At 59.5% G+C, this 12,091-nt stretch overlaps 1 protein-coding gene across 8 annotated transcripts in view, besides 4 other annotated features; it reads left to right on the forward strand.

Annotated features, from left to right (window-relative positions):
* Nucleotides 1-12,091, forward strand: part of SLX9 (SLX9 ribosome biogenesis factor) — a 37,277-nt gene that overhangs the window by 6,051 nt on the left and 19,135 nt on the right. The window lies entirely within an intron of this gene.
* Nucleotides 3,661-4,246: an enhancer, noted in NCBI's record as "H3K27ac-H3K4me1 hESC enhancer chr21:46369323-46369908 (GRCh37/hg19 assembly coordinates)". NCBI's record gives its function as "activates a minimal SCP1, AML or CMV promoter by ChIP-STARR-seq in primed H9 embryonic stem cells {active_cell/tissue: H9 hESC(primed)}" and the evidence as "EXISTENCE:reporter gene assay evidence [ECO:0000049][PMID:30033119]".
* Nucleotides 3,787-3,936: an enhancer, noted in NCBI's record as "active region_18585". NCBI's record gives its function as "activates an Ori minimal core promoter by ATAC-STARR-seq in GM12878 lymphoblastoid cells {active_cell/tissue: GM12878}" and the evidence as "EXISTENCE:reporter gene assay evidence [ECO:0000049][PMID:35858748]".
* Nucleotides 4,247-4,832: an enhancer, noted in NCBI's record as "H3K4me1 hESC enhancer chr21:46369909-46370494 (GRCh37/hg19 assembly coordinates)". NCBI's record gives its function as "activates a minimal SCP1, AML or CMV promoter by ChIP-STARR-seq in naive H9 embryonic stem cells {active_cell/tissue: H9 hESC(naive)}" and the evidence as "EXISTENCE:reporter gene assay evidence [ECO:0000049][PMID:30033119]".
* Nucleotides 6,324-7,274: an enhancer, noted in NCBI's record as "H3K4me1 hESC enhancer chr21:46371986-46372936 (GRCh37/hg19 assembly coordinates)". NCBI's record gives its function as "activates a minimal SCP1, AML or CMV promoter by ChIP-STARR-seq in naive and primed H9 embryonic stem cells {active_cell/tissue: H9 hESC(naive and primed)}" and the evidence as "EXISTENCE:reporter gene assay evidence [ECO:0000049][PMID:30033119]".

A 12,091-nucleotide genomic window follows, 5' to 3' on the forward strand; every position in this document is an offset into this window, starting at 1 on the left:
GTCGCCAGGGTGGAGTGCAGTGGCTTGATCTTGGCTCACTGCAACCTCCGCCTCCTGGGTTCAAGTGATTCCCCTGCCTCAGCCTCCTGAGTAGCGGGGACGGGACAACAGGCACATGCCACCACGCCCAGCTAACGCCACCACGCCCGGCTAATTTTTGTATTTTTAGTAGAGATGGGGTTTCACCCCGTTGGCCGGGATGGTCTCGATCTCTTGACCTCAGAGATCTGCCTGTCTTGGCCTCTCAAAGTGCTGGGATTACAGGTGTGAGCCACCACGCCCGGCCTGGTCTTTGTTTTTCGTAAGCTCAAACCTCATTAATTTAGAGTAACTGGTGGGAGAGGGTAGAAGCTTGAACTTTACAATGTCAAAGATTGATTTCAAATTTCAGAACCATGTTATCAGAGTAGAGCATAGAAGTGTTTTCTTGAAATAATTGAACAATAAGTTGAAAAAATTTGAAGATTCTATTGTTTGTGAGTCTGTTGGGTAATTAATTTTTTTCTTAATTCACATACCCTTATTTGTGCATAAAAATCTTAAAGCTTGTGCTGACGGGACTGTAGCGTGGCCCGTTCTGGCGCTCCCCAGCCCTGAGCTCGTGCTGACAGTAGCGTGGCCCGTTCTGGCGCTTCCTGCTTGTGTGCAGGTGTTTCCCATAGCCCGCCTTGAGGGGCACGAGGATGGGAATTATTTGAGCCGTGCGGCAGGGTCAGGGTTTTGGGTGTTGGGGAGGAGCCTTGGCCTGGGGAGGCACTTAGTGCTTCTGGCCAGGAGCCGGTGGCTTTGTGCACTGCCCATGGCTGTGATTTCTGCCTTGGTGCCCCAGGGGGATTCAGGAGAAGGTGCTCCAAAATGGTGCCTTGGAGGTTGTCCCTGAGGTGTGTTCCAGGAGGCTGTCCTGTGGGAGGGGCGTTCTGAGCTCATCGCCGCGGGCCCCCATTACAGCCCTCCTGGAGCGAGGCCTCTGGCCAGCCGTCTCTGGCTGTGGCTCTCAGCCCAGGGTTCTGGTGCATATTCCTTCCACCGCCCTGCTGTGGGTTTTCTGCACTGAAGAGCCCCGGGCTGGATGAAGGGGACCATGGGACCTCACAGAGGGCTCAGACGGAGGGACAGGCCTCCACTTCCCCTGCCCTGGGATGTGAAGCACCAGCTTGGCAGGGTGGCAGGGCCCACAGACCCTCATGGGTGGGACCTGCAGACCCTTAGAGGAGTAGCCCCACAGGCGGAGGGGCTTGCCCTGGTCTGGGGGCCCCAGCCCCTTTTCTTCAGGCCTCCGAGGTATCCAGGCGCCTCAGTGGGGTCCTTTGCATCTTGGCTGCTCCTCACCATGTTCCTCCCTCTCTCCAGGAACAGTTCTGTTTTTTTGGTGTGGTCTCCTCAGCTCCTGATTGGCTGGTGCCCTGCGTCCCTACCCCCACCCCACCCCGGGTTTGTGCTGGGGCCTGAGTGCCCATGTCATGCAGATACTGCATCCTGTGACTTGGCCGCCACCCTTCAATGACCCGCCTGGCTATGGAGGTGAGGTGGCGGCCTGTGGGTGCCTGTCTGCCTGGCTTAGTGCAACACCGCCTTCCCAAGATGTGTCTCATCGTCCGTGCCCTGCCTGAGTCAGGAATAGCACTGCATGCTGCGTCTCTGGCCAAGGAGCTGGGTGGCCCAGGGGAGGGGTCTAGGCTGTGGCCCATCACCTGGTGGACACCCGTGTGCCCATCTGCACCCCTCCTCCCCCACTCTAGCCCTGGGAAGTGGTGGGGCTTGTTAGTCCCTGTGACTGACAAGTTCGTGGCATCGTTCCTATCCTGTGACTGACAAGTTCATGGCATCGTTCCTATCCTGTGACTGACAAGTTCATGGCATCGTTCCTATGTTTTTTTTCAAGCCCTTCGGATCCCAGCTCGCCAGGAAGCCACATCTGACCCCCTGTTCCCTTCCTGTGCCCTGGAGCCTGCCTTACCCTTACGGGCATCCTGGGAGGGACCCTCTGAGCTCTGCAGCCTCCTGCTACGGGAGGAGGAGGGCATGGGTGCAGGGCTGAGGCTGGCCTAGAGTCCCCTCCCCGCCCCAGCTCTCTAAGACCCCCTGCACCTCCCCAGCAGGACTCAGCTTTGCCTGTGGGCCGGGTTGTGCATGCAGGGGCTTTGCGGCAGCCTGTGGACCCCATGTCGGGGCTACAGCTCCTCCATGTCCGCTCTGGGGGTGGCGAGGGACCTGTGGCAGAGCCGGGGTGAGCACCCGTCTCCTGAGCCTCCCCCAACGCAGTGCCACCTGCTGTGCGTGCTGTGTGGCCAGCTCTAGCTGGCTTGTGCAATACCAGAGCCTGGCAGCCGGCCGGGTGTCCAGTGGTGGCTGATCCTCCAGCCTTGGGCACGGCTCCAATCCTTGGCATCGGACATCCGGGGAGCTGGTCATGCAGCATCGGGCGATCGGGCATCCGGGGAGGTGGTCGTGGAGCATCGGGCGGTCCGGGAATCTGGTCGTGGAGCATCGGGCGGTCCGGGGAGCTGGTCGTGAAGCATCGGGCGGTCCGGGGAGCTGGTCGTGGAGCATCGGGCGGTCCGGGGAGCTGGTCGTGGAGCATCGGGCGTCCGGGGAGCTGGTCGTGGAGCATCGGGCGTCCGGGGAGCTGGTCATGCAGCATCGGGCGGTCCGGGGAGCTGGTCGTGGAGCACCGGGCGTCTGGGGAGCTGGTCATGGAGCACGCTTAGAATTGGATTTCTAGTTCTGTGTTCCTTCATACCAGAAAACGAGCCCACCTGTTTTCAGACAGGCACTTGGGACTCAAGCTCAGAGACACAGGCAGGGTGGGGCAAGGCCTGGTATGGACTCAGAGCCGGGTGGGGCTGGGGGCCCCTGGAGCAGAGGATGTTGGGAGGCCTGTCACCATTGCTGGAGAGGGAGCTCACAGCATGGTGGACGGCTTGGGGGCGGTGGGGGCATGAGAGGCGCCGGTGGTGGTACAGGATTTTGGGGGTGTTGCTTTTCTGGCCAGATACCTGTGGCCGGTGGCACCTTTGCTTGAGTTTTGTCCAGGCCCACTGGGCTCATTTCACCTACTTGGCCTGGCAGGCTGAGCTCAGCTCATGCTACTGGCCTGGATCTCATGCCTCCAAGGGAGACTGGAGTCAGGCGTGGAGCGGTGAAGTGTGTGTGTGAGCAAGTGTGGGGTCCGGCCATTGCAGGCCAGCGCCAAGCCACCCTCAGCCCCCGCCTTGGCTTCCTCCCAGAGCTTGTTGATGCCCAAGGTCCAGAGGGGGCCAAGGTGGCAGGGCCTGAGTGTGTGCACACCCGGCCGGGCTCTGACAGCACCTGGGCTCAGCCCCAACCCCCCTTTGAGATTGGAGTGGGCGTTGGAAGCAGGGAGAGGCCAGGCAGCAGGAGCAGGCATCTCTGAGTCTGCAAGGGTAAGAGTGCAGAGAGGCCAGGGTCCCGAGCCCCGACTTGGCTGCTGCTTGCTCCCGCTCCTGCTGGCTCTGTGGAGCATGCAGCCCTGGCTCCCCCTCGCACGGTTTGTGGCCTTGCCCGGGGGCTGCTCCTGATCAGGGAGTGGATTGTGGGCCCTGGGCCCTGGGCCCGGCTGTCAGGAGTGTCGGGCCTGGCAGTCACACCGATGTGGGGTGGATCCTAGGGATGCAGCCCAGGCGGCCCTGCACCATAGCCTCCTCCAGAGGAACCCAGCACCCTCGGCCGGGTGGACACAGGGACCACACTGCTGTCCGGGTCCCCAAAGCGCGGCCCCAGCTCCGCCTACCCCCCAGAACCCTCTGTGCAGCAGCAGCAGGCCAGAGCGCACCATGGAGCCAGGCTCTGAAGCCACAGAGGCCTACTCTTAGACGCCGGGCACAGGGCACCCACCGCCGCCATTGCTGCTCCGGCAGCCACTCCTGCCGCTTCTGCCTGCGCCTTCCGGCTGTGTACGACCTGCTGCTGCTGTCAGTGGAACACGTCTGCGTCTGCAGGCGTGTTGGACTGGGTGACGAGGCCACCAGGCTGTGGTGCAAGGACATCCCAAGCTCCTGCACCCAGCCCTTGGGCAGGGCTGGCTCTCCCGGTCAGCACAGAGCGCTGCCCAGGTGATTGTACCTGCTTAGACCCCACTCCACCCCCAGGCACCTGCGGTGGAGGGACCTGCGGTGGAGGGCGCGACCTTGGCTTCCTGGCCGTCCCTCTGCCCTGGTGATCTGGCCAGCAGAGGGCAGCAGAGCTGTGTCCTTGTCAGGTCAGCCCAGGTGTGGGACAGTCCCGGGATAGAGACGCAGGCTCTCCCTCCTGCCTTGCACAGCGGAGACTTGGGAAGTCCCAGCTCCTCATCAGACAGTACAGACTCTGGGGTTACAGGGTTGTCTTCAGGGATTTTTTTTTTTTTTAAGATAACTGGAAAATGGCAGAAAATGAGCCTTGCCCCACCCTGCCTGTGTCTCTGGGCTTGAGTCCCAGGTGCCTGCCTGAAAACAGAATGAGCTCATTTTCTGCTATTTTCCAGTATCTCAAAAAAAAAAAATCCCTTTTTTAAGACCTTTTTTTACAGTTGTGAAGTCAAGGGTATGACAGGAAACCATGCAGAATGTACTTGTTGCTTATATCTACTCCCAAGTTAAAATAAGAACAAACTGACGGGGAGGTTACATGGAGATGGCTCTGTGGAAGCGAGGCTTGGGGTCAGATGGCCTCGGCTTGGCCGCAGCTCCCTGTGCGTCACCTGCCTTGGCTGCGTGGTGCGGCGGCTGGGAGTGGTGCGCCTTCTTACCTGCGCTCCTGCAGAGAGTGTGGCCGTGCCAGCCGGTATGTTGGGAGCCCAATGACTTGTTTCTTAAGCCAGGCATCCTTGTGAGCCACATGTTGTTGAGACGCTAGACCAGGGGTCGGAGGTGTGGCCTATGCCAGTCCGGCTGGGAGCGTGGCCCTGTTGGTGGCGCTTCTCAGGCCCATGGTCACGCAGTCACATGGTGCCATGCTGAGGCATTTGACTTGGACCAGACATAGTGCTGTTTCCTCCCATCTTAGTGGGAGTCAGGAGCCAGCCAGGGCCTCTGGGGTTCTAGCCTCCTGCACCTCCTTGCCGGCGTCCTCAGGGTTTCTGCGATCAGCTCCTTCATCTGCGAAAGGGGGGTGTCGGGGGGCTGCTGTAGAACTGCTGTGGGTTTATCCTCATAGAACTTTGAGCACAGAGACTGGCCCAGGCGGGTGTGGGCTGCACCTGTGCCTGAGGATCACGGTGACTCCACCTGGTCCCTGTCCTGGAGCACGTGGCGGCGACTGGGTACACGTGTCGTGGGCACAGTGCAGCAGGCTAAGCCTTCATCGGATTAAAGTCGCCGGTTTGATTTAAAGGCCTTAAAAATGGTTTAAACACACAGCAGCAGCAGAACACACAGGAGAAGATTCCTCTGGGCTTGGCCAGCCTCTTCTGTGCCTGTGTCTCATGGCCTGGCTCCTGTTCACTCAGGTTGAGATGAAACCGTGGCTGCTGCCATACTGGGCGCAGAGGAGGCTCCCATCTCCTGGTGGCGCTGAAGCCCACAGCCATCCAAGGGACCAACATCTTGCAGCATCGCGCAGGGAGGTAGGAGAGAGGCAGGGAAAGTGGGCATGGATGGCCCTGGCTTGCTGCACAGCCTGGGAGGAAGCAGGGGGACAGGCTGTGGATGTGGCCCTTGCCGGTCCTGTTCAAGTCCCAGCTCTACCATCTGGATCCAGGGGCTGAGTCCTCAGCGCACGGGGCGAACGGCCGCGTCTTTGCCCACCGTGCCTCACTCACTGTCATGCCTGTGGCTGAGACTTGAAGGTTAGGGATCAACTTTTACCTAAAATTACTTCTGTAGAAAATAACATTTCATGATTGAGAAAGCAGCGCGTATGCACACATTGCAGAATAGACAAATACGCAACATTGGGAGATAAAAGCCAGGCCCTGCCCCCGGAGCCGCCCGAGCGCGCTGTGTGGGCACCATCTCTCACTGCCCGAGGGCACTGTGTGGGCACCATCTCTCGCCTACAGGTGTTCTCGCCCAGGCCTGCTGCACGTGCCAATCACTAACCGGGGCGGGGCATCTCAGGAAAGGCCCTTAGCTAGCAGTGTCTTCAGGAGCCCTTGCTGCTCTTTGTCCGAGCAGGGTTCGCCCGTCGTGTGTGGGTTTATCCTCATAGAACTTTGAGCACAGAGACTGGCCCAGGCGGGTGTGGGCTGCACCTGTGCCTGAGGATCACGGTGACTCCACCTGGTCCCTGTCCTGGAGCACGTGGCGGCGACTGGGTACACGTGTCGTGGGCACAGTGCAGCAGGCTAAGCCTTCATCGGATTAAAGTCGCCGGTTTGATTTAAAGGCCTTAAAAATGGTTTAAACACACAGCAGCAGCAGAACACACAGGAGAAGATTCCTCTGGGCTTGGCCAGCCTCTTCTGTGCCTGTGTCTCATGGCCTGGCTCCTGTTCACTCAGGTTCACTCAGGCCTTTGTGGGCCGTGCAAGTCTGGATCTCACCGGCTTGCCGAGGTCCCTGGGCCGCTGTCTTGGGCTTGCGCTGCTCGCCCCCGGGAAGCTCAGCCACTGCCTTTTTCTATTTGCCAGACAGCAATCGGCAGCTTCCCTGGCCACTCAGGGAGTGACTCCTCCTCATCAGAGCTGTCTGCTGTCAGGGCTGATGTTTAAGTTGTTTCTGGAACTTTCACATCAGAGTGTGTGGCCTGATCACCTTGGGCCTGGCCTGGGGATTCCCGGGGCCGCCTTCCATCACCAGAAGGTTGGCCCCAGGGCCCTCCTTCTCCCCTGCAGGTCTGGCCCCAGCTGCTTCAGGACCGCCCTCCCATGGGGGATGCTGTGCCCAGCAGAGGTCTTTTGGCCGAGTGGACAGTTGGGGTTATGTGGCCCCACGCCCAGCAGAGGTCTTTTGGCTGGGTGGACAGTTGGGGTTGTGTGGCCCCACGGGACCCTCCCTCGTTTGGGGTGCTGCTATGTGGGTGTCCGTGTCATGTGCTCCGGGCGCCCCCCTGCCTAGGAGACGGCGGGGCAGTGTCTGAGCATGTGGGTTGCTATTTCTGAACCTGGCACTTGGAGCTCGGTGGCTGGAGCTATTTAAGGTTCTTGACATGTTCGGTTGGTGGGGCCTGGCTGGCAGCATCCTGCTGAGGCCATCTGCACGTCACTGTCCTCATCGACAGCTGGGGTGGGAGGGCAGCTGAGTGTTTTCAAATGGAAACTTAGGGGTGAGCAGGGAAGGGCTGGGGCCCCAGGTGCCACTGTATTCTGGGTGTGGCACTCATTCTGACTTGCAGGTGCCATCCTGAGACTAGGAGGTCCCCAGGGCCCTGCCTCTGGCAGCCTCCCCCTTGGCATCCCACCTGGTGTGTTTTCCAGACCCCGCCTGGCAAGGCCCAGGCCGAGCCTGTGCAGCAGGCTCTCCTCATTCACTCCTCAGACACTACTCCTCATGGGAGGTGGCAGCGAGTGCCCCCCGGCTACAGGGCTATCCCTTCCTCTGTGGGCGCGTGGCCGGCCTGTCATGTTCAGGGGCCCTGGGCACTGTGGTTTTCTGATGTGTGCTTGTCTGAGGTGTAGGCAGGTCGTGGAGGCTGTCTTGCGAGGTTCCCTAGGTGGGGCCCCCAGACTAGCTGAACCCACCAAGAGCTGCGAGTGGCTGTACCTCCCAGAGCAGGACGCCTCTAGGTGAGCAGCACAGCCACTCCCTCGGGCACCATCCCCGGCGGTGGGGCCCTGCGTCCGGGCCTCGGGAGCCTGTCCTGCACCATCCCCGGCGGTGGGGCCCTGCATCCGGGCCTCGGGAGCCTGTCCTGCACCATCCCCGGCGGTGGGGCCCTGCATCCGGGCCTCGGGAGCCTGTCCTGTGTTGACTTAGGACTGAAGCAGTTCTCTGGGGCTTCTTCCTTTCCAGGTGGGATGGGGTAGTTTGGGCAGATGCTGAGGACACAGGCCAGGTGTGGCTCAGGAGGCCAGGAGTGCCCTCTGGCCCCGCAGCCTGGGTTCCTCAGTGCAGTAGCGTGACCTTGGCGCTCTGCATTCAGCGTCCCTGGGTCGTGCCACCCCCCGGGGAGCTCTTGGCCATGACTGCTCTTCCCTGCGGTGCTGCTGGTACTTTCCTCGCTGCAAACCTCGGCCGCACCCCAAGGCCTTGCTGAAGCCCTCAGTCCCAGTAGCTGTTGATCCTTTGGCATTTTCTGCATCATGACCATGCCATGTATGGGGACGGCGGTGGTTCTGTCTCTTGCTTCTCCATTCTTAGGCCTTTGACGTGTTTCTCTTGCCTTGTTACCCTGGCTGGGAGCTCACAGGACAGCAAGAAGCCACGCTGCTCCCGGGGCACATGCTACATCCACCATTGGCTGCACTGCCCTTGGGGTTCTGGAGGGTCCTTGTGGGGTGAGCTAACACTGGGGGTGGGTGTGGAGTGTGCCAGGAGCCTGCTGCTGTGTCTGTGGAGAGAATCCTGTGGGGTTTGGAGTCCACGTTTCTTGTTTGTATCAGCTCCATGACACTTGCAAGGCCAGATCCCGTGGACTCTGCGTCTTCTGGCCGGTGGGTTGCTGAGGGGAGCAGAGGGGCCGAGCGTTGTGTGGGTGCCGTGCACAGGCTGTCTCCAGTGCTCCTGGGTACCCTTCTCTCAGGGGCCCCGTCTCCCAGGCCACCTTCTCTCGGGAGGAATGTCGAACCCCTGGCTGGGGTGGATGGTGTTGGCTGGAGGGTGGGGGCTGCCCGATGCAGCACTTTGGGAGCTCCGGCCGTCGGCAGGTTTGTCTGTGGTTTTGAATGTCCACCCTCAGGTCCTGGGAGAAGGGAGTCGAGGTGAGCCGTTTGCCTTTCCTCAGGACTGCGGAGGTGGGCACAGGGCCCAGTGGTGGAAACGTCCTCCGGCCCTGCAGCCTGGGCTCCTCAGCACAGTAGCGTCACCTTGGTGCTCTGCGTCTCAGTGTCCCTGGGTAGTGCCACCCCCCAGGCGCTCTTGGCTGTGACTGCTCTTCTCTGCGGTGCTGCTGGTACTTTCCTCGCCACAAACCTCGGCGGGGGGTGTCTGCCGATGCGGACCCTGGATGGCGGTGCCTGGTTTGTTCCAGTTTTGTTCCAGGACACTGTCTTTGACCAGGACAATTTGTTACCAATTTTTAAAAAGGTCTTTGGGTTTTTCTTTAAAATGGACACCTAATGACAAACATGTAGTATAAAGAAGGAAGAGGCCGGGGACGGTGGCTCACACCTGCAGTCCCAGCACTTTGGGAGGCAGAGGCAGGTGGATCACTTGAGGTCAGGAGTTTGAGACCAGGCTGGCCAACATCATGAAAGACCCCGTCTCTACTAAAAATACAAAAATTAGCTGGGTGTGGTGGTGTGTGCCTGTAATTCCAGCTGCTCCGGAGGCTGAGGCAGGAGAATGGCTTGAACCCAGAAGGCAGAGATTGCAAGATCGTGCCACTGCGCTCCAGCCTGGGCGACAGAGTGGGACTTTGTCTCAAAAAAAAAAAAAAAGAAGTAAGAAAGCTTGGAAAACAGAGAGAGACAGGGGCCCTCCCGCTTCCCCACTCCTAGTCCCCTGTGCTCCTGCCGCTTCTCCCCGCTGCCGCGGTGCTGGGCACGTGCACCACCCCCTCACATGCTCGCCCACCAGCGCTCCGAGGGAAAGCTGTGCTTTCTCCAGCTTATTCCTGCAGCACTGCCTCTACGTGAAGTTGTGCAAAGTGGCACATGATAGATACCATGAAAAACTCAATGCCAACTACCGTTAAGTGACAGCCTCCCCACTGCAGACTTGGTCTGTCTGCTCCTTTCTTTTTTTTTGTGAGTCAGTGTCTTGCTCTGTCACCCAGGCTGGAGTGCAGTGGTACAATCTGGCCTCACTGCAGCTTCGACCTCCTGGGCTCACGCAATCTTCCCTCCCACTTTGGCCTCCTGAGCAGCTGGGACCACAGGCACGTGCTGCTGCTCCCGGCCCCCTCTTTTCTTTACAAGTGTGTGTCTGCCCCTGCTGCTTCCCTGGGCTGCGTTCTAAGGCAGCCTTACATCACGGCTGCTGAAGTTTTGTTGTCCGATGCACCCAGCTCTATAGGGAGTGTGGGCCATCCTTGAAAACGGAGTAAAGACATTTGTAGATCAAACCACAGCAGTGGAGTTGCTGATCCAGTCTGATGAACGTCTGATACTTCACAGGCGTTACCAGGTTGCCTACTGCAGACACCGCCGGGAGCAGCACCCAAGTCGGCCTCCGCCTGCGGCCTGTACCTTTGGAGGATATGGACGAGGTGTCTGCTGATGCGGACGCCAGCCTGCGGTGCCTGCTTTGTAAAATGCGCGGCTTTTCATCAGCAAGGCTACATTCAGCCTTCATCGCTGTGAGCTGCCTATATGTGCCTTTTCCTGTTTTTCTTTTCGGCTGTTGATTGGTTTGAAAAAGCTATGTAGGAAGGAAGCAATCTCTTGTTAACTGCAGCTGTCTCCCCCTCGTTGGTAGTTCTTTTGAATTTGTTCATGTTATTTTTTTCTCTGCGGAGGTTTAAAGTTTCTCTGTAGCAAATTCGGTGTTTTCTGTGTCTTTTGTGGCCCCTTTGTGTCCTCTGCAGTGGTTTTGTAGTAGTGCCTTTTTAATGTATTTAATCCATCAGGACTTTATTTTTGTGTATAGAGTGAGACGGATGATTCCCACTTCATTTTTCCCCAAACGGCCTGTCCCACGATGCATTTCAGCTTGCATTCACCCAGAAGGCGTGGCGAGAAGAACCTCGGCACCACGAGATGCTGCTGGCATGTGCCGCTTCAGCTGGTGACCTGGGTGGTGTTGGCAGCATCTGAGTGGCTCTGTAGGCCGCAGCATCTCCCGGCACCCGAGCCCGAGATGAAGCAGCACGTGCCAGCAGCATCGCGTAGTGTGTTCTGTCCTGAGCCTCATGCAGATCTTTGTGGAGTGAGAATCAAGGCTTGTTGATGGCGTGCACGGAAAAGCCGGTCTCATGCTGATTTTCCTTAGGGTCCATCAGAACACGTGCCCCGTGAACCGTGTCACCCCACGGCCCAACTCTGGTGAGCCTGGTTCTGTGTCTGCTGACCTGGTGAGGGCTGGGGACCAGGTGAGTTGCCTGCGGCACAGGCGTGCTGTGTAGCTGCCATGTGTGGCTTCCTCCACTGAGGCTGGTTTACCGCGTCTGTTCCCGGGGCCCCTTTGTTAGAGCGCAAGAGCCCAGGCAGCACCGTGGCAGCTGGGAAGGCTGTGGTTCTGGCGAGGCGGTTGCCTTGCCCAGTGTACCTGGAATTGCAGCTCCAGAGCACGGGCCCTGGCTCCTGCGCGGCAGCGTCTCACCTTCCCTTTTCTTGTCAGGGTTTTTAGGCAGCCTGTACCTGCGTGCACCCATCCCTCTCTCTGTGCGGGGCCATTCAGCTCATGCTGCAGGTTTTTGCCGGGCCGGCCGGCGTTCCAGGGACCAGAGCCACCCCCAGAGCTCTGTGATGAGTCAGCTCAGGGCAGGTTTCTAGTCACTCCCCAAGGGCAGGGCTGAGGCGGGGTCTTCCAGAGTCAAGGGTTAGAGGGGCTGTTCCTTGAACGGCCCTTGAGTCCTCCTCAGAGTGCCTCCCACTGGGCCAGAGGGGCTGTCCCACACGGTCAGTCCCCACACGCTGCTCGTGAGCCCGGTGCCTCTATGCAGATCGCTCCGTGGCAGCTGCATCCTGGGCTCCTGAAGACTCAGGCAAGGGCACGGCTTCTCCTCATCCTCCTCCTCTTCATCTCCACCATCCATCTGCCCTGTGCCTTGCAGTCCAGCTCAGATACAGGCGCTGTGGCAGCCAGGAGCACCCTGGATACCACCGGGTCCCAGGACCCAGATCGCAGGAGCCACCTCATGCCCTGCGGCCTTGTCTTTCACCCTTTGGGCTTGTTCACTGCCAGTAGCAACAGGTGGCCCCAGAGGGTTCCACCGAGTGTGAGGGGGAGTGGATGGCACCTGCAGCATGTTCCCCCACAGGGAGGCCTGGGCTCTGTCTTGGGGGGGTCCTGTCTCGGTTTTGTGGGGAATGAGGGTATGAGCACCTCGTCTAGCCTTGCCTCAGCCACTGGCTGGGGTTCTGTGAGGTTCAGTTTAATGGGGACTTGCCCGT

Source organism: Homo sapiens, chromosome 21 (genome assembly GCF_000001405.40).
Source record: "Homo sapiens chromosome 21, GRCh38.p14 Primary Assembly".
Taxonomy (NCBI): Eukaryota; Metazoa; Chordata; class Mammalia; order Primates; family Hominidae; genus Homo; species Homo sapiens.